Here is a 20337-nt window from a genome sequence, read left to right as displayed (position 1 = left end):
CATCAGATTTTTTTTTTTTTTTTTTTTTTTGAGATGGAGTTTCACTCTTGTTGCCCTGGCTGGAGTGCAATGGCGCGATTTCAGCTCACTGCAACCCCCACCTCCCGGGTTCAAGTGATTCTCCTGCCTCAGCCTCCCAAGTAGCTAGGATTACAGGTGCTCGCCACCATGCCGGGCTAATTTTTTTATTTTTAGTGGAGATGGGGTTTCACCATGTAGGCCAGGCTGGTCTCAAACTCTTGACCTCAGGCGCTCCACCCACCTCGGCCTCCCGAAGTGCTGGGATTACAGGCATGAGCCATCGCACCTGGCTTTGCATCAGATTTTTTTTAAAGGAAATAAAACATTACAGATAAAGCCTTTTCCTTACTGAGGTAAAGTTACATTTTTCCTACCTTTCACTATTAAAAATAGCACACAAATATTCTTCTGCAGTGTGTGAAGGCTTCTCTAAGACCTATCACTAGAAATGGGAACTATTGGAATGTGAGATGTTCATGTTTTCCATTGTAACCTAGGTATTCCAAATTGTTCAGCAAAATGTCTGTAACAAGTTAGTCTCCCACCAGCAATAAGTAAGATTTCCTCTTGCTCCATATTGCCAATAACTTGATGTTTTTGGACTATTGCCAATCTGATAAGTTTGAAATTGTGTCTTTGATGCTTTAAAATTTATGTTACTCTGATTGCTATTTAGGTTGGTGGTCCTTTCCTGTATTTATTGGCCATTTGGTTTCCACCACCCTGTACTGCCTATTCATATCCTTTGCAAATTTTTCTGTTTGGTGCTTTTTCCTGCTGAATTGACGTGCTCTTTATGTATTCTTGGTATTAACCTCTTGACATTTATAGAGGTTGCAAATATCTTCTCTCTGTTCCTGGCTTGCATTTTCACTTTGTGATTTTTGTCATATAAAAGTTCTTTATGGCCGGGGTCGGTGGCTCACACCTGTGATCCCAACACTTTGGGAGGCCGAGGCAGGCGGACCACCAGGTCAAGAGATGGAGACCATCCTGGCCAACATGGTGAAACTCCGTCTCTACTAAAAATACAAAAATTAGCTGAGCATGGTGGTGTGTGCCTGTAGTCACAGCTACTTGGGAGGCTGAGGCAGGAGAATCGCTTGAGTCCAGGAGGCAGAGGTTGCAGTGAGCCGAGATCGTGCCACTGCCCTCCAGCCTGGTGGCAGAGCAAGACTCTGTCTCCAAAAAAAATAAAATAAAAAAACAAACTTTATTTTAATATTAATGTAAGTATCTTCTTCACCGTTGGTGCATTTTGCTGTATTAAGAAATCCTCAATGTCATAAAGATATTAACCTTTTTTCTTCTGAATATGGTTTTTCACTTTTTAGTCGTTAAGCAGTTTGGGATTATATTTTTGTACGTTCATGGTGTCTACTTCAATTTTTATAATTTTCAATACTCCTATCCAATTTTCATAGTACCACCTTTATTTAAAAGTTTATCTTGCCATGCACAGTGGCTCTCATCTGTAATCCCAGCACTTTGGGAGGCTGAGACAGGTGGATCACTTGAGGCCAGGGGTTTGATACCAGCCTAACCAACATGGGAAACCCCGTCTCTACTAAAAATACAAAAATTAGCCAGGTGTGGTGGTAGGCACCTGTAATCCCGGCTACTCAGGAGGCTAAGGCAGAAGAATCGCTTGAACCTGGGAGGCGGAGGTTGCAATGAGCTAAGATGGCACCACTGCACTCCAACCTGGGTGACAGAGCTCAAAAAAAAAATTTATTCACCTCTGTCATATGTCAGATTTCCATATTATTTGTAGTTCTTTCTGTATGCTCTTTACCACTACCATATCTAGCCCCACTCTTTATTAAATATAGCTTTACAGTAAGAATTACTCTCTGATAGGATAAGCACCAGAGCACCATCATTATTCAGGTTATTCACAATTGTCTTGGCTATCTTGAAGCCCTATACTCTCATGAATTTTTGGATCAGCTTGTGAAGTTCCTAAAAACCTTCATAGGATTTCATTTGAAAAGAACTGCATTGAGTTTATAAGATCAATTTGAGGAGAATGGTCATATTTGTAATACCAGTAATACCAATAAATACAAAGCCTTTTGTATTTTGTATTTATGAACATGGTATATCTCTCCATTTATATCTTTTATGCCCTTCAGTAAAGTTTTGTAATTGTCAACATAAAGATTTAAGATTCACATCTGTCTTGTAGTTTTTGCGGCTCTTATACAAAGTAACATATATTCTTCCCCCAAGCCCATATAATAAGTTGGAGTAGTGTTTTCCCTTATTCAATACTCTGAAATAATTGGAATTTTTCATTCCTTGAATATTTCATAGAACTCACCAGTAATACTATTGGGGCCTAGAATTCTCTGTGGGAAGATTATTTTTAAATTACTGATTCAGCCAGGTACCATGACTCACACCTGTAATCCCAACATTTTGGGAGGTTGAGGCAAGAGGATCACTTGAGGTTAGGGGTTCAAGATCAGTCTGAGTAACAAAGCAAGACTCCGTCTCTACAAAAAATAAAATAAATTAGTCAGGCATGGTGGCACATGACTCTAGTCCTAGCTACTAAGGAGACTGAGGTGGGAGGATCACTCGAACACAAAAGGTCAAAACTGCAGTGAGCTATGATCTCGGCACTGCACTCCAGCCTGGGTGACAAAGTGAGGCGCTGTCTCAAAAAAAAAAAAGAAATTACTGATTCAGTCTTGCTTTTGATTATAGAACTATTCAAGTTTTTTATTCTCCTTCATTCAGTTGTATTTTACCAGGAATTTTTCCATTTCATCTGAATTTCCAAATTTATTAATATGAAGTTGATCATAGCCTGTTGATTATATGCCTAATGTCTACACCAACTGCATTTACGTTCCTTCTTTCATTCCTATTATTTTTGTGCCTTCCTTTTTTCCATCCATATTGTCAGAGGTTTGTCAGTTTGATCTCTTTTCAAATGATCAAGTCTGTCTTTATTGATCCTTGCTCTTTTATGTTTGTTTTATTTCTCTTAATTTCTACTCTTGTCATCATTAGCTCTTTTCTTCTGCTTTCTTTGGGTCTGTTTTGCTGCTTTTTTTCCTAACTCAAGATGGTACTTAGCTCATTAGTTTTTTCATTGGCTTCAAGCCTCTTTTCCTCTAATACACACATGTGAGATTTTAAATTTTCTACAAACTACTACTTTAGCTTTATCCCACAAGTTTTTGATATGCAGTATTTTGATCATAGTTCTAAATACATTCAAATTTCCCATAATTCTTTGATGTACTAGTTATTTAGTAATATGTTTCCAAACATATGGAATTTTCTTTTTTTTTTATTGACTACTGAGGTAATCACATTGTGGTTTCTGCAATAATCAGACCCTTGAAATTTGCTGAAACTTGCTTTCTGACCTAGTTGATGGTCAAAAGTTTTAACTTTTTCATGTGCTTAAAAATATGTATCTGTTGAGTGTGATGTACTGTTTGCCTTGTATATCAGCTTATTCTATCCTTTAAATTTATATGTTAACCAAAGCACATGTAAAATAAGGAAACAGTATATTGAAAATGAAAAAAAAAAAAAAGATACATTAAGCAAAACAGGTTTACCTGTTTGGGATTTGCTCAGTTCTTGAATCTGTAGGTTTATGTCTTTTGCCAAATTTAAGGAGTTTTCAGCCATTATTTCTTCCAGTACTTTTTTGGCCCCACCCTACCCTATTTCTCCTCTCTCAGACTCAAATGATGTGAAAGTTAGATTTTTTTGTTGTTTTTGTTATAGTAATACAGGTTTAACAGTCCATTTTATCTCTAGAAATTGGGTAATTTATTTTTTCCCCCACAGGCCAAAGCTAAGATTTTTTTTTCTTTTTTTTTTTTTGAAACAGAGTCTCACTCTGTTACCCAAGCTGGAGTGCTGCAGTGCAGTGGTGCAGTCTTGGCTCACTGCAACCTCCACCTCCCAGGTTCAAACAGTTCTTATGTCTCAGCCTCCCAAGTAGCTCTAGGGACTACAGGGACGCACCACCATGCCCAGCTAATTTTTGTATTTTTAGTAGAGAGGGGTTTCGCCGGGTTGGCCAGGCTGGTTTCGAACTCCTGGCCTCAAGTGACCTGCCCACCTCAGCCTCCCAAAGTGTTGGGATTACAGGTGTGAGCCAGCGTGCCTGGCCAGAATTGGATAATTTTTCTTCTCTCTCTTCCAATTTACTGAGCTGTCGTCTGTGTCTTCTGTTCTGCTGTTGAGACTATCCTTTGAATTTTGGGTTTTTGTATTTTTCATTTCTAAAATTTGGTTCTCCTTTTATTTACTGAGACTTTTTATTCGCTGAGACTACTTTTTCGTTTGCTTCAAGCCTGTTTATGATTGCTTGTTGGAGCATTTTTGTTTTGTTTTGTTTTGTTTTGAGATGGAGTCTCACTCTGTCTCCAGGCTGGAGTGCAGTGGCACAATCTTGGCCCACTGCAACCTCCACCTCCCAGGTTCAAGCAATTCTCCTGCCTCAGCCTCCCGAGTAGCTGGGACTACAGGCGCATGCCACCATGCCCAGCTAATTTTTGTATTTTTAGTAGAGACGGGGTTTCACCACGTTGGCCAGGATGGTCTCGATCTCTTGACCTTGTGATCCACCTGCCTCGGCCTCCCAAAGTGCTGGGATTACAGGCGTGAGCCCATTGTTGAAGCACTTTTATATGACTGCTTCAGAAGCTTTATCAGATGATTCTAATATCTCTGTCATCTCAGTGTTGTTATCCACTGTCTTTTTTCCTTTGTTGGAGATCTAACTGGTTCTTGGTATGAAGAGTGATTTTCGATAGGAACCTGAGCATTTCGGGTACTATATTTTGAGACTCTGGGTCTTTCTATGCCTTCTGTTTTGCAGGCTTTTTCTGACATCACTCCAGCAGAGAGAAAGAGGGAGGGCCACCTCATTAGAGCCTCCATGGGTGGAGGTGTTCATTTGGCCTTTGCTGGTGTGGGTGTGGGTGGAACCATAGTTTTTTCCTGTGGTGCTGGGCTAGGGTAGAGTCGTTATTTCCTAAAAGTTTTCTGTCTTGCTAGGTTGCCTTTTTCCTTGTCCTTTAGCTAGGAAGAGCCAACTTTTGTTGGGACTTTATTTTTTTTTTTCTGTCTGCATTATTGCTGTTCACATGTTGCCAGTTTCTTCAGCTCCAAGTCTGGGATTTATAAGGCAAAAGGAAAATCCAGACAACTCACCACTATGTTGTTTCTTGGGTTCCAAGGTCCCTAGCCAGTCTCCCTTCATCTCCGCCTTTCAGAGACATCTTAGGTTTGTTTTCTATTAAGTTTTTACTTGCACTTAATAGGAAAAATAAGGAAAGTGCATCTAATCCAACCTTTGGGAAGCTGAAGTTGAAGCTCCCTTTTATTTTTTCAATTGCCAAACTACATTTTTAGTCAGCCAGGTGGAGGGAAGACTTAGTAGAGAAAATGCACTGTTACCTCAATCTCAGCCATTGTTTTCTTCCTTCTTAGCACAATGGATCCGAAGTGTAGTAGCTGTAGGATCTGAAGTGTAGTAAGTTTGAGAGTGGGAGTAAAATCCACGCTAGTCCCAAAGGAGAAGTACATCTGGACTCTAAATTCAGTTTCCCCCCTCACTGTACCATGTTGCTTCTTATAATAGATGTTTTTTGGTTCGGTTGTTTTTTTTTTTTTTTTTTGAGACAGTCTCACTTTGTTGCCCAAGCTTGAGTGCAGTGGTGCAATCTCAGCTCACTGCAACCTCCACCTCCCGGGTTCAAGCGATTCTCCTGCCTCAGCCTCCTGAGTAGCTGGGATTACAGGCACATGCCATCATGCCCGGCTAATTTTTTGTATTTTTAGTAGAGATGGGGTTTCACCGTGTTAGCCAGGATGGTCTTGATCTCCTGACCTCATGATCTGCCCACCTCAGCCTCCCAAAGTGCTGGGATTTGGTTGGGATTATTAAAACAGGTTCTATAAACTTATAAAGCAGTGAGGAATGCATTTGGTTGCAAATAACAGAAAAATTTGGTTTAAACAGAGGTTTATCTGTATCATACAGCTATTTTAGTGAACTAAATATGGCCTGAGAAGACTCCTATATTTGAGTCCTTGTGGACGAACTGTAACCTAGCTTAATAGGCAGACAAGATCAGAAACCTAACTTAGGAGTATGCGCCTGTAACAGTCACTGAGTCTTGGCCAATCCCGGCGGCCATACTTCAACCACTCACATACTGCTGAGTGTTCAAACTGTGTTCAAATAAAGCAAATGCCAACCTGCAACCAAACCAGCTTTTCTGTACCTCACCTCCCTTTTTTTGTCTATAAATCTTCCACCACGTGGCTGCGCTCGAGTCTCCGTGAATCTGCTGTGATTCTGGGGGCTGCCCGATTCGCAAATCGTTCATTAGTCATTAAACTCCTTTAAATTTAATTCGGCTGAAGTTTTTATTTTATCACAGCCAAATGCTTCACCCCTTCGAAAAAATTAATGAGTAAGCAAACCCCATGTATTTATACTACACACACTGTCAAACACTTCGGAGAGATTAAGTAAGATAAGGAGTGAGAATCAACCATCGCCTTTGACATTGTAGAGGTTATTGTCCTTGACAAGGGCTATTTCAGCGGAATTCTGGGAACAACAGTACTTCATTACAGTAGTCCAACAGAGTAATTTGTAGGTGAGAGAGTGAAAACTAGCAGGTATGGATGATTCTTTTGAGGTGTTCTGCTATAAAGGGGAGCAGAGAATTGGAATAGCTGAAAGAAGATGTGAGATCGAGGGACGCATTTTTGTGTACTTAAGACTTAAGCTATGACAGTGTGTTTTTAACCTGAGAAGATTGATTCATTTTAAAATAGAAAAAAAAAATGCTGATACAAGAAGGAGAGGCAGGGTGATTGCAGAGCCAACTCCTTAAGAAGGTGCCCAAGAGGAAAGGTTGATCTTGGCGAGAGCACACACAATCCATTCATTGTATTGGGAGGGAAACACAAAAGTTTAAAGGAAGATTTGTTTGTAGATTGTATGGTGATTAGACTAAGGAAGTTCTCTCTACACTTGTTTTCTCAGTGAAATAAGCAAGTTCATCACTTAAGAATGAGTAGCGACGCAGTGCAGACATTTGATTGAAGGGGAGGCCATATTCATAGAATGTGTAAAAATGAAATAACATTGTACTGACGATCCTAGCCAACACAACAGAACAAGAAAAAAAGTAAATATTAGAAAGCTAATATTAGAAACTAAACTGTTATCAGCACATACTATGTGTCCAGATAGAAAACCCAAAATAATCTACCACTAACCACTAGAATTAGTTTAGAAAGATACCCGAATAGGCCGGGTGAGGTGGCTCACATCTGTACCCGAATAGGCCGGGTGAGGTGGCTCACATCTGTAATCCCAACACTTTGGGAGGCTGAGTTGGGCAGATGATGAGGTCAGGAGCTCGAGACCAGCCCGGGCAACAAAGTGAAACTCCGTCTCTACTAAAAATACAAAAAAATTAACAGGGCCTGGTGGCGGGTGCCCATAATCCCAGCTACTTGGGAGGCTGAGGCAAGGAGAATCACTTGAACCTGGGAAGTGGAGGTTGCAGTGAGCCGAGATCGCACCACTGCACTCCAGCCTGGGCAACAGTGTCAGACTCTGTGTCAAAAAAAAAAAAAAAAAAAAAAAGGAAAGATTCCTGAATACAAGATCAATATATAAAAACTGTTTTTATACAAGAACAACAGTTATAAAATATAACTTAAAAAATATATATCATCTGAAGTAAAAAAAAAGGATTAGGAAGCTAGAGATAAAAATAAAATGTGCAAAATTATTACTAAGAAAACTGTGAAACTCTCTTGTCTGATCTACAGATTCAATTGAATTCCAATCAAATTTCTACAGTTTTTGGGAAATCTTAATAAGCTGATTCTAAAATTGTTATGGAAGAGCAAAAATAGCTCCCCAAATAGCCAAGGCACTCCTAGAGAAGGTGATAGAGGGATCTGCCTTACTAAATCGTGATACTTACTATGAAGCTATTGTACAATGTTGTGAAGGGGTTCCATGGATTGGGCCTCACATAGTTGCAGGAACTGGGGAGGACGCCCATGGAAGGTGGTTGCCTCTGCATTTGGAGATGGATCTGAAGTCACAGTAGACCAGCAAGACCAGGAGTCAGGAAGCAAAGCTGAACATGAAATGAGAGAACAAACTAGAATCTGTGAGGGCAAGTTGGAACCCATGAGAACAAATAGGAACTCAAAAGGACAAACTGGAATGCACCGTTTTCTACCTTGATCATACAGGGGAGCCACAGAAGCAGCCTGTGCCCTTCACTGCAGAGCTGTGTGTTTCTGGCTCAGGACTCAGACAGGACAAAGGCTATCCGACAGCAGCTGGAGGAGCAGCAGCCATGCCTGGCAGCCCTCGCTGACCTTCACAGCCTACTGGCTGCCTCCCCTCTGCTACTTTCCAAGTCTTTTCTCTGCAGCCCACTGCCAATGGCGGGAGATGGGAATTTTGGGAAATGTAGTTATAGCTTAACTAAGTTACCACACTTTAAAATCACAATGAGGAACAGAAAAGGGGCCAGTGTGGCCAGATTGCAGTGAGTGTGGGGGAAAGTATATAGCAAGGGAGGAGGACTGCAGACGTATATTTTGAAAATACGCTACCTGGGCATTCACTTATTTGATTCCCTGTACAATTTGTCTGGAAACAACCCTACCATGTATGGTGCCTTGGCTTCCTAGGGTGAGGAAATGCCTTCAAATGTATTTGATTGCTGTCTCATGCCTCCCTCATGCCTTCAAAGTTCAAGGAAGTAGGGGTGGTGAGGTAACAAAGAGCACTGGTAATTAAAACTGGCTTAAACTTCAATTTTTCATTTTACCATGAAAATCTTCATGATATGGTTTCTACTCTTCTCTCCCTGACAAGTAGGGAGTCTTAGTTTTGGCACAAACGGAGTTCTGAGATCAGGAAGTAGACAGGGTGGACTGGCTGGCTAAGAAAGTTCCTTTGCAACTTTTTTTTGTAATGTTATTGTTTGTTTTTATAATTACATGAAAAGGCCTAAGACATTTTTATATCTTGCAAGATATCCATATGACACTAGCCTAAATGCCCACCTTGGTTTCTAGGCAACATCCAAAAGATATGGTAGAGTCTGCCTACTCATTACCAAGTAAATAGCCATTCTTCCCTTCTATATCAAATTAACAGAACTCCATTTGCCCACCCAGCTAAAGCACCACATTTCCCAGCCTCCCTTGCAGCTTTGTATAGCTGTGTGGCTAAGTTCTGGCCAATGGAATTAAAGCAATGTTGTGCGGGACTTTGAGTCTTCTTTAGATCCAATCTTAAATAAAACGCCTACAACAAAAATCATACTCAGTAGGAAAACATGGAAAGTTTTTCTTTGGAAATCAGGACCAAAGTAAAGAGGCCTGCCCTCATTTTTCAAGTCAGCGTTTTAGGGAGATGTTTTGCAGCACCATAAGGAAAATAAACACATAAGAATTGAAATAAAGGAAATAAAACTATCATTTTTTGTGGATGATATGATTGTCTACAGTACTGTTGACCAAAAGAGTCAAACTCTGTAAAATATTTGAAGAGGTTTATTCTGAGCCAAATATGAGTGACCATGGACCGTGACACAGCCCTCAGGAGGTCCTGAGAACATGTGCCCAAGGTGGTCGGGGCACAGCTTTGTTTTATATGTTTTAGGGAGGCATGAGACATCAGTCAAATACATTTAGGAAATACATTGGTTTGGTTCAGAAAGGCAGGACAACTCGAAGCAGGGGGAGCTTCCAGGCAATAGGTAAATTTAAACATTTACTGGTTGACAGTAGTTTGAGTTTATCTGAAGACCTGGGATCAACAGAAGGGAAATGTTCAGGTTAATATAAAGGATTGTGGAGACCAAGTTTTATTGTGCAGAGTAAGCTCTAGATAGCAGACTTCAGAGACAGCAGGTTGTAAAATGTTTCTTATAGGACCTAAAAGGGTGCCTGGCTCTTAGTTGATTATCTCCTGGATCTGGAAAGGAAGGAAGGAAAAAAAAAGGAGGGGAAAGGGATTCTCTATAGAATGTGGATTTTTTCCCACAAGGGACAGCTTTGCAGGGCCATTTCAAGATACGGCAGAGAAACATGTTTTGAGGTAAAATATTTTGCTTTTCTTCCTTGTTATGCCAGAGTCAGATTGGAAAGTAAGCCACAATATACAGGGTTAAATAAAACCCTTCTGATGAGAATTTGTGGTTTGTAGGACATGACTCCACAGACCCCTTAGATAGGAATTGGGGCAAGATAAAAAAAAAATCAGAGCTTAGTTCTCAGTAGAAATCCCCAAAGAATCTAAAAATAAATTCTTAGACATAATAGATGATTTTGATAAGATCAATATAAAAATTCAGTTTCATTTCTCTATACCAGACACAATCTAAAAGCACAATTTATTTTTAAAAACAAATATTGCCGGGCATAGTGGCTCATGCCTGTAATCCCAGCACTTTGGGAGGCTGAGGCGGATGGATCACAAGGTCAAGAGATCAAGACCATCTTGGCCAACATGGTGAAACCCCGTCTCTACTAAAAATACAAAAAAACAAAAATTAGCTGGGCATGGTGGCAGGTGCCTGTAATCCCAGCTACTTGGGAGGCTGAGGTAGGAGAATCTCTTGAACCCGGGAAGTGAAGGTTGCAGTGAGCTGAGATAGCGCCATTGCACTCCAGCCTGGGTAAAAAGATCAAAACTCCATCTCAAAAAAAATAAAATAAAATAAAAAATAAAAACAAATATCAATATTATTGACGTAGAATATCACCAAACTATATAAGTTCTAGGGTAAAAAAAAACTAACAAAGATGTGTAAAATCTATACAAAAAAATTACAAAATTTTAGCAAAAAGCATTAAAGAATACCTAAATGGACAAAGATCCCATTTTTATGAATCATAAGTTCTTATGATAAACACATGAATTTTCTCCAAGTTAATCTACAGATGTAATGAATTACAGTCAAAATCCCCAAAAGATTTTTCATAGAACATGAGAAGTTAATTCTAATATATATTAAGGAGCAGATGTCAAGGATAGCCAAGGTATTTCTGAAGAAAAATTAAAAGGGGAGAATTATTCTAGCAGACATTATGATTTTTTATAAAGTTATACTAATTAAGATAGTGTGGTCTTGGTGCAGGAATAAATGAACTGACTGATAGATAGAAATAGAGGGCCAGGAATCAGACTCATGCATATTTGAATTTTTAAGACAGGCTGGAAGTACAGAACTGGAGAAAGGCAAGATTGAATAATAAATGGAGCTGAAAAATTGGTTATCCATGTGGAAAAATGAAATCAGATCTTACTTCACACCATATACAAAAATCAAACCTAGAAGGATTAAGAGTTTACGTGTTAAAAGCACACTTTCACTTTTAGAGAAAAATAAGCTAATATTGTTCTCATCTTAGAACAGGGAGGGATTTCCTAAATAACACACAAAAATATGCTCACCGTAAGAAACAATATTCACAAATTCAGATATGTTAAAATTAGTCACCAAAACATGTCATCAAAAAATATTTTAAAGAAATAGAAGAAAAATTCCAACTGAAGTTATTATAGCACAAAGGATTAGCATGCAGAATAGATAAGGGTTCCTACAAACAAAAAGAGGGAAAAGCTAGCAAAACTGCAAAAGATTCAAACAGACATTTCACAGAAGAAAAAATACATACAGCTAAAAATCATGAAGCACTGTTGAACCTCATTATCAGGGAAATGGAAGTCAAAACCACAGAGATACCATTTTACACCTATTGATAAAAATTTTGTGTGACAATATTGAGTTTGAAGGGAATGTGAATCAATGTGATCACATTCCTGGTAGAAATGTAAATTAATATAACCACTTTGGAAAATAATTTGTCATTACCTTATAAGGTTGTTCATGCCTGAAGACCCAGTAACTCCTCATCTAGTTATATACCCAAGAGAAACATTAGCACCTAATATGAAACAGAAGATTGTTCTAAGCAAAAAAGTTTGTCTTACAGAAAGAAATAGAAACAACTCGGATATCTACTGGCAGGAAAAAATATAAATTTTAGTAGAGTCGCACAAGGGACTATAACACAGAGGTGAAAATTAAGGAACTACAGCTTTACCAACCACATGAATGTCTCAGAAACACTGTTGAGTGAAAAGAACAGGCTAGAGAAGACTATATACAGGGTGATACTACTTTTATCACCTGAGAAGACCCAATTACATATGATTTAGATGTTCAAGCATATTTGGTAAAACTCATCTTTAAAAAGCAAAGGAATGACAAACAACAGATTTAGAAGAGTAACCTATGTGAGAGAGCCAGAGGGCAGAGATAGAGTGGGTGCCCTTCCCTTTCCCTTAGGTCAAGGTAAAATGGTGGTGATATTCTAGTTCTTGGTTGGGCCTTGGTTTTACCAGGTGTTCATTACTAAATGTGATATAAAGTAAAATAAGGCCATTCACGGGCCAATGATGATAGTGTGCCATGAATCAAGAATTTTTATTAATTGCATTCTGTGCATTTGAATTCCATTTTGTGAAAAAACAACAAAACTGTACGAATTGCAAAGAAATGTTCCTGAATCCCACTATCATAATGCAGCAAGCAGTTCCTCTTAAAAGTCTCAGTTAATGACCTGGAGCACGCTTTTATGCTTTCCAGTGAAGTGTGAAGTGTTGCCTCTCTTGTCAACAAACTGTCAGTCAGCACTGCACCACTTCCAGCAGTTCTGAGGTCAGGGGAAAGATTTTGAAAACCTTGGCTGGGAACTTTAAGACAGAAACAAAAAAGGTGTCAGCTAAGGTTTCTTAGGGACAGTTGTTCATTTGTTTATTTTAAAAATCTGGTTCCAAAAAAGTCTCATTTAAATTCTAGGAAAAAAACAAATGAGAGTATTGCAAAGCAAATGTTTATTCTAAGTGCCAGGTCACATTTATATTGTAATGTGTTTTATACTTTTCTTGGGTGTAATTTCTTATTAAACTATTCTTTATAACTTTATAAAACCCACAGTTTCCACATAGCAATGTCGAAAAGCATTTTGATTTAGAAATAGCGAAAAAAAAGTAGTTTGGGAGCTAGAATGAATGTGCATTTAGAGTAGCATCCCAGGCCGGGTACGGTGGCTCACGCCTATAATCCCATCACTTCTGGAGGCCAAGGAGTGGGCATTACTTGAGCCTGGGCAACAAAGTAAGACACTGTCTTTACAAAAAAAAAATCAAAAAATTAAGCAGGTAGTCCGGGCGTGGTGGCTAACGCCTGTAATCCTAGCACTTTGGAGGCCGAGGTGGGCGGCTCACCTGAGGTCAGGAGTTCAAGACCAACCTGGCCAACATGGTGAAACCCCATCTCTACTAAAAATATAAAAATTAGCCAGGTGTGGTGGTGGGCACCTGCAATCCCAGCTACTCAGGAGGCTGAGGCCGGAGAATTGCTTGAACCCAGGAGACGGAGGTTGCAGTGAGCCAACGTGGTGCCACTGCACTCCAGCCTGGGCGACAGAGTGAGACTCCGTCTCAAAAAAAAAAAAAAAAAAAAAAATTAGCCAGGTATAGTGGCATGTACCTATAGTCCCAGCTACTCGGGAGACTGAGGCAGGAGGATCACTTGAGTCCAGGAGGTTGATGCTGCAGCAAGCCATGATTGTGCCACTGCACTCCAGCCTGGGTGACAGACTGAGATCCTGTCTCAAAATAAATAAGTAAATCAGTGTTCCCTTAGATGTGAGACAAGCAAATGCACAATGTCCACTGTGTCACGAGCAGGGCTACAGAGATTGGAAAGTGAGGACTTAAGCACTGAAAGAAAACCTGTTTGCTAAGTCTCTGCCGTGCTTCCAAAGCTGAAGTATTCCTGAACTTCAGTTTCCCCATCTGTTGAACTCGGGAACTAAGATATGCCTTCCTTACCTCAGAGTTAGTGTATTGAGAAAGTAGATGTGAGCATGTTAGTGGCCAGGCACATTCTGCCCATTACACAGTAAACCAATCACTGAGATGATGAGTTTGGCAGTGGAGAAAAGATTTTATTCTTGAGGCAGCTAAGTGAGCAGCTAGAGAATGCCTCTCAGGTCTGCCTCCCCGTAGAAGAGGCTTTATGGATATTTATGGGGTAGAGTAGCAAGGCGGTCCGAGGCATGGGGAAAGGTGACTGGAGTAAGGGAAAACAAGGCAATGAGTGACCTGCACAAGTGTAGTCAAGCTTCATGGCTCTTAACAGGATGCACGTTAACAAAATGAGATCATTAGCGTGATCTGAGGGTGGAGTTTTTGGCCCTCCAACATCAAAAGGTCACCCACTGTGAAACGGGAGGTTTCCCTGAACCTCCTTGCAGGACATGCAACAAGGGTGTGGCTCGTCTGTTCAGCCACTGTGTGTGCTCAAACCCTTTACGGGAGAGGGAGCACGCAGGCAGGTGCAGGAATCAGGGTGAGCGCTTTTGGGCACCGGCCCACCAGTGGTGTCTAGGGGTAGGAGCCTGCAACTCCTGAAGCCCCAGTGGATGAGCTACAGTCCTCTTTTAGCTCTGCCATCCGCAGATGGCTTAAATGTTAAACAGCTCAGTGCCGTCTTGGTACCTGGATTCTTGTCCAGTGTCCAGGGAGAATCAGATCACACACAGACTTGAAGGATGGTGAATGTGGGGGTTTTATTGAGTGGTGGAGGTGGCTGTCAGCAGGGAGCCGGAAAGCGGATGGAGTGGGAAAATGACCTTTCCCTGGAGTTTGGCTGTCCAATGGCCTATCTCTCCTCCCTGACTGCCCCAGCCAAACTCCTCTTGATGTTCAGATGCTCCTTCTTTACTCTCCTTCTCTGCCACGCCGTTCTGCAGCTCTTCTGCTCTTCTGTTTGTCTGCTCATCTGCTTGTAGAGCCTGGGGCTTAGGGTTTATATGACTACAGGATAGGGGGCGTTCCAGACCAAAAGGCAACATTTGGGCATGAAAACAGGAATGCTTGTTCTCATTCCAGGCTGCAGGTTTCCAGGCTTTAGGGTGGGGCCTTTGCCAGGGAACCACCCTCTTCTACCCAGTATTTCCCTGTCTCCTGTCCATATCAACTGGACATTCACACAGGTCCAGTTGAAGGGCTGGTGGTCTCAGCTGGTTTGAAGTGGACAAGGACTGACCCCCACTTCCTGAAAAACAACTGTTACCATGGTGAGCAATGCCTTAGAGTTGTTAACTATAAGGAAGCTACTGGCAGATATATATTATTTAGCTATATGGATTTTAAAATCAGCTAGAAGCAAGCGGCTAAAAGCAAGCAAGGCAAGATAAGCTTGGTGGGCCTTATAAGTTTAGTCCTCAGTTTCCATCAACAGCCCATGGTCAAGCAAGAGGCAGCAGGTGGGGTAACAGGAAACCAGTGGGATGCAGACAGTGCGCCCATGCCCATTTTATAGTGCTTGGAGCATGAGTTTACTATTTATAATGACCACGGAGTTTAGAGCTATTTTATTATTGCATTCCTGACAGAAATTATCAAATCATATCTGATGTGCTTGATGTCAAGTCCCTAACCCAGAATGTAAGTCCAAATTTATAACTTCATTATTTGTTTGTTTGTTTGTTTGTTTGTTTTGAGAGGAAGTTTCAGTCTTGTTGCCTAGGCTGGAGTGCAATGGCAAGATCTTAGCTCACTGCAACCTCTGCCTCCTGGATTCAAGCAATTCTCCTGCCTCCGCCTCCTAAGTAGCTGGGATTACAGGCGCAAGCCACCACGCCTGGCTAATTTTTGTATTTTCAGTAGAGACAGGGTTTCACCATGTTAGCCAGGCTGGTCTCAAACTCCTAACATCAGGTGATCCACCCACCTCAGCTTCCCAAAGTGCTGGGATTACAGGCGTGAGCCAATGCACCCGGCTATAACCTCATTATTATGATAAAAAACATACAAACCAGTTTGCAGAAACCTGTTTTATGATGCTCCAATTTATGTGGCAATTTCTAGAAAAAAATTTATGGTGATAAGTGAGAATTGTCAGTCACTGAAACATTAATTACATAGTCAGTGAAGAGCAGGTAAAATATACTTCTGGGCTTCACTTTACATTAGAGATGTTTTTCTGAAACGGTGCCTATGAAACAAATCCTTGTCCCCATTACTTCATATTTATCATTTCAAAGGCACTTTATCTTTATTTCTGGTTGATCACCCTTTGAGGGTGGCATTCCAAAATGTCAGCTCAAAATTTCCCTGCCCTTCGGTTTCTGTGACAAGTAAGTTAACGATCTGTAAATAAATCCTGAAATGTCCTCAGGAATCTGCCACTTGAAGGAATTCTATTAGGATTCTTCCAAAATGCAAACACTTGGCGTGTCATGGGCCTGCCTGAAGTTGTACGCTGGGCTTTCTGGAGGGCAGCAGACCCCTAAGAATAGAGCCCGGGCTTTCCTTTAGTTCCTCTCATTGTTTTTCAGGGACAAAAATCGTTATCTTATATTTTTTTTTTCCAGAGGAGTAGGAGGAAGATCTAAAATAGTTAGGTCTGGCAGCTTAATCTGGGTTGGCTGTCTCTGCCGGCAATCTGTAAAATGTGTTTTTCAAGGATAAGAAGTTTGGGCCCTGGGCCAGAGCTCATGTCTGTCATCAGCGGGAAAATAAATGATCTCTGTAACCTGCTGCTATGCTCTGTTTACCTTTGTGCTTAAACATGAACACCTTGCCTTCCATAGGCCCAGAGCTGCTCAAAGTGGATCCTTTGCTCTTGTCAAACAGAACCTTCATAAATCTGCCATTTGGGTGAGCATGGTGGGGCCAGCTTTTTGTGAGGTGAAACTCCAAACCAGCTTCCATTCTCGGGATTGGTATGTAGTTTTTTCATGTTGCCTAAGAGGCTCAGGAAGGGAACTTGAGGTATTTGTTTTTTCATGCCTGCAAAGGCCATTTCCTAAGAGGTGAGAAGCATATATGCATGCCTGCAAGTACCTGTGAACGTGGGCCACTGAGAGTCTCTGGGGCAAGAGCCCTTCAGGGGAATCTGGTATCTATTCATTATGCAAAACTTCATTCTAGCTAGAACAGGGCCTGGGCTACACTTAAAGCTTAAAGGGATGTCTGTTAAACCATGTTTCCTGTTTCCTGTAGAACTTACCACACTAGTACTGAAAGTGTCATAGCTCAGAGTGGAAGGTTAACGCGTAAGAAAGGGACAGTATTGGCAGAAGGCAAGTGGTGTGACCACTTCCTTCTCCACCCTCTTCTCCCATCCCTTGCCTCCCTGGAAAAGCTGGTTTCCTCAGGAGTCACTCCTTCAGCAGCCGCACAAGGCACACGCCTCGGGGAAGCCGGGCACAGGCTGGGGTTGCCTCCCTCCTGCCCCTGCCCTGCCTCCTGCCCCAGCAGACAGTGAATAAGCCACCTGGTTGGCCCAGCTTCCCGCAGTCCCACTTCTCAAGCTAGGGTACATGTATCTAGGAGGACAGGACTGTGTCGCTGGGAGGTAGAGTGAGACGGATGACAGGAGCCACAGAATCAAAACAGCACAATCGACTCATCAGTTCTTTAACTTGTAAGTTCAAGTCAAACATTACTTTTTATTTTGCTTTACTTACTTGTTTTTTGAGACAGGGTCTTCTCTGTCGCCCAGGCTGGAGTGCAGTGGCACAGTCATGGTTCACTACAGCCTCCAACTCCTGGGCTCCAGTGATCCTCCTGCTTTAGCCTCCCAAGTAGCTGGGACCACAAGCATGCAACACCATAGCTAACTTTTTTTTTTTTTTAAGAGACAGGGTCTCACTATGTTGCCCAGGCTGGTCTCAAACTCCTGGGCCCAAGCAATCTTCCCACCTTGGCCGCCCAAAGTGCTGAAACTATAGGTTTGAGCCACTGTGCCTGGCCAAACATTACTTTTTATAATAAGACGAATATTTTTTTCTGAAATAAGGCCCAATGAAGCCCACCTTGTTTGTGTTTAAGAAGCCATGACCAAAAAGAGCACTACCCATTCCTGCCCAGGCTTGTTGCAGTCACCCATTTAATCGCTCATTCAACTTGAGTGTACTTATGGGGCTCTGGCCAACTGCCAGATGAGAAAGACGCAAGCCCCTCTCAGGAACTCACAGTGTAGCGAGGAGGTAATAGGTTAATGCGTGGTTTCCAGGGAGAAGTTGGAGCTCAGATAGGGGTCAGCAGGAGTGGTTAGGGAAGCCCAGAGAAAAGACCCCAACCCAGCTAGGCACAGCTAAAGAGAGACAGTAGGCACTGCACTGGGGGAAGGAGAGAACTCGTCTACCAAGCAGGTACACTGCCCTGGTCAGGGCTTGCCTGCCCTGGCCTCTGTTTCTTCACCTGCCAGATAGGCAGTTAGAGCAGTGACTCTAAGCCCCTGCCAGACTGATATGTCTGTGGCTCCCTTCACCCACATCTCTGCAGAGCTCAGTAGCTCTCAAAAGGTAGAGCCCAGCCTCAGGGCAGCGCGGTGGTGTATGCTGGGGCTGGGATGTGTCAGGGTCATCCTAACTCCAGGATGCAAAGGTGGCCATTGCTGGCCCCAGGGTTTCATAAATTGCTCCGCACGTGGAGAGTCTGGTGTTGGCAGCATTGGTTCTGATATCCTGCCAACTGAGCATGACGCACAGGCCAGGTGGAATTCAGGGCATGTGCTCACGGAGGAACCACCGTGGATTCTGGCTGTGGCAAAGGTGCTGCAGATTTGCGCCTCAGTTGATTTGTTCCAGGATGGCGAGCACCATGGCCAGCCACACCCCAGGGAACATTCCCCCTGCTCCCTCAGCACCCAGCAGCCTCGCAGCCCAGCAGCCCAGCCCCGCAGCCCTCTCTGGCCATTGATTGCTTAGGCAGTACCTGAAAGAAATCTCACCTCATCTGGTCAGCTAGCCTGGGCTTATCTGTAGGGAATTTCACATCCGCTTCCCCCACCAAAAGACACACATCATTTTGTGTAAATGTGAAACTTCAGGGACTCTTGCCTCATAAATGCATGTGTTTTTTTCTTGTATGCAGTGCTATTTTCAAGACCAATATTTAAGTCTTTCTGATGAATTCCTGCCCATCTGTCAAGATTTAGCTTGAATGGCCTCCTCCTACCCATTCTATGGGCTCCCATAGTCCTTTGTGCACTAGAGCTTGAGAGCACAGCCTTGCAATTTATCTGCTGACACGTCCATCTCACCAGCTGGTCCTGAGCAGATTCTCAAGGGCGGGAACCTTACAGTGGCGGGCTTCCATCACCTAATACTAAGGCCTCTGCTGACACCAAAACTCTGTAAATGTTGCAGTCAATTCTAAGTGTCTTTTTCTCAACTGTTCTCATCTTACTTTTTATGGTTTCAATGCCTTCCACAATGGTTTACTCTCTTATTTAGACTTCATCTATCTCACTGAATGGTGGTGTTGGGTCACCTGGGGTCAGAAAACCAGTGCAAAAATGCTGCCACTCTGGCTGTTACTATTACTGGAAGTGAAGAAACTGTCCTTCTTCTCTGACCCAGGAGCCTCATGTCTTCTACCAACATCCGTGAAATTTTGGCATGTGTGATTATTACCTGCACATGAGATAAGATCTCAGTTCTTGATGGTATGGAATGCTGCAGGGAGAGGAAGTGTGCGTGCACAGGCCCAGAGGCCTAGGGGAGCCCAGCCTGCTCTCGGAACTGCCAGGAGAGCAGATGACTGTGGCACACCCTTGCTGTGTGGGGTGGCAAGCAGCCTCTTCCTTCAGGCTTCTGCCCAAATGTGATCTCATTAGAATGGCCTTCCTTAACCATCCCAGCTGACACAGAATCCCACATCACTCCCTGTCTCCTATCTTGCTTTTCTGTCTTTCACATGTATACCACATCATCTCATATATTTGTTTGTTTGTTGTCTGTACTTCCCTACAAAATGGCAAATCCCATCGGCGAAGGAACTTTGTTTCATTCACTGCTGTAATTAATTCTACCACTTAGGACAGTGCCCCGCATAGAGAGATGAGGCTGTCAGGACAGGCAAGCCTGGTTTGCATCATGGGTTACAGCCTGTAAGCCATGCCAGGAGCCTGGGTGAATCCTGGGAGGTTTAGAAATTCTTTTAAGTATTCTATGATTTGCATTTTAGGGCCATGATCCCTTCAGCAGCTGGCAAGTTCATTGAAGGGAGGGCAAGACCACAGGAGTCTGGGAGAGCAGGTGGGAGGTGGGCGCATCATCTAGAAGGAGGATGTTAGTGTGGATTTAAGACACTGGGCTGGAGAGGAGTGGAGGAGTGTTAAAGCTATCAAGTAAGGAGAATTGACAGGGCTTGGTGATTGATTGGATGTAGAATGCAGGGGAGTAGTG

At 42.3% G+C, this 20337-nt stretch overlaps 3 annotated features.

Moving 5' to 3' along the window:
* Window positions 7804-8341: an enhancer, noted in NCBI's record as "NANOG-H3K27ac-H3K4me1 hESC enhancer chr7:105720971-105721508 (GRCh37/hg19 assembly coordinates)". NCBI's record gives its function as "activates a minimal SCP1, AML or CMV promoter by ChIP-STARR-seq in naive H9 embryonic stem cells {active_cell/tissue: H9 hESC(naive)}" and the evidence as "EXISTENCE:reporter gene assay evidence [ECO:0000049][PMID:30033119]".
* Window positions 8342-8881: an enhancer, noted in NCBI's record as "NANOG-H3K27ac-H3K4me1 hESC enhancer chr7:105720431-105720970 (GRCh37/hg19 assembly coordinates)". NCBI's record gives its function as "activates a minimal SCP1, AML or CMV promoter by ChIP-STARR-seq in naive and primed H9 embryonic stem cells {active_cell/tissue: H9 hESC(naive and primed)}" and the evidence as "EXISTENCE:reporter gene assay evidence [ECO:0000049][PMID:30033119]".
* Window positions 16489-16783: an enhancer, noted in NCBI's record as "tiled region #14293; K562 Activating DNase unmatched - State 4:PromP". NCBI's record gives its function as "activates a minimal TATA promoter and a strong SV40 promoter by Sharpr-MPRA in K562 cells {active_cell/tissue: K562}" and the evidence as "EXISTENCE:reporter gene assay evidence [ECO:0000049][PMID:27701403]".

This window comes from Homo sapiens, chromosome 7, assembly GCF_000001405.40.
Source record: "Homo sapiens chromosome 7, GRCh38.p14 Primary Assembly".
NCBI lineage: Eukaryota > Metazoa > Chordata > Mammalia > Primates > Hominidae > Homo > Homo sapiens.
The sequence above is the reverse complement of the archived record's forward strand: the minus strand, read 5'-3'. Positions and strand labels throughout refer to the sequence as shown.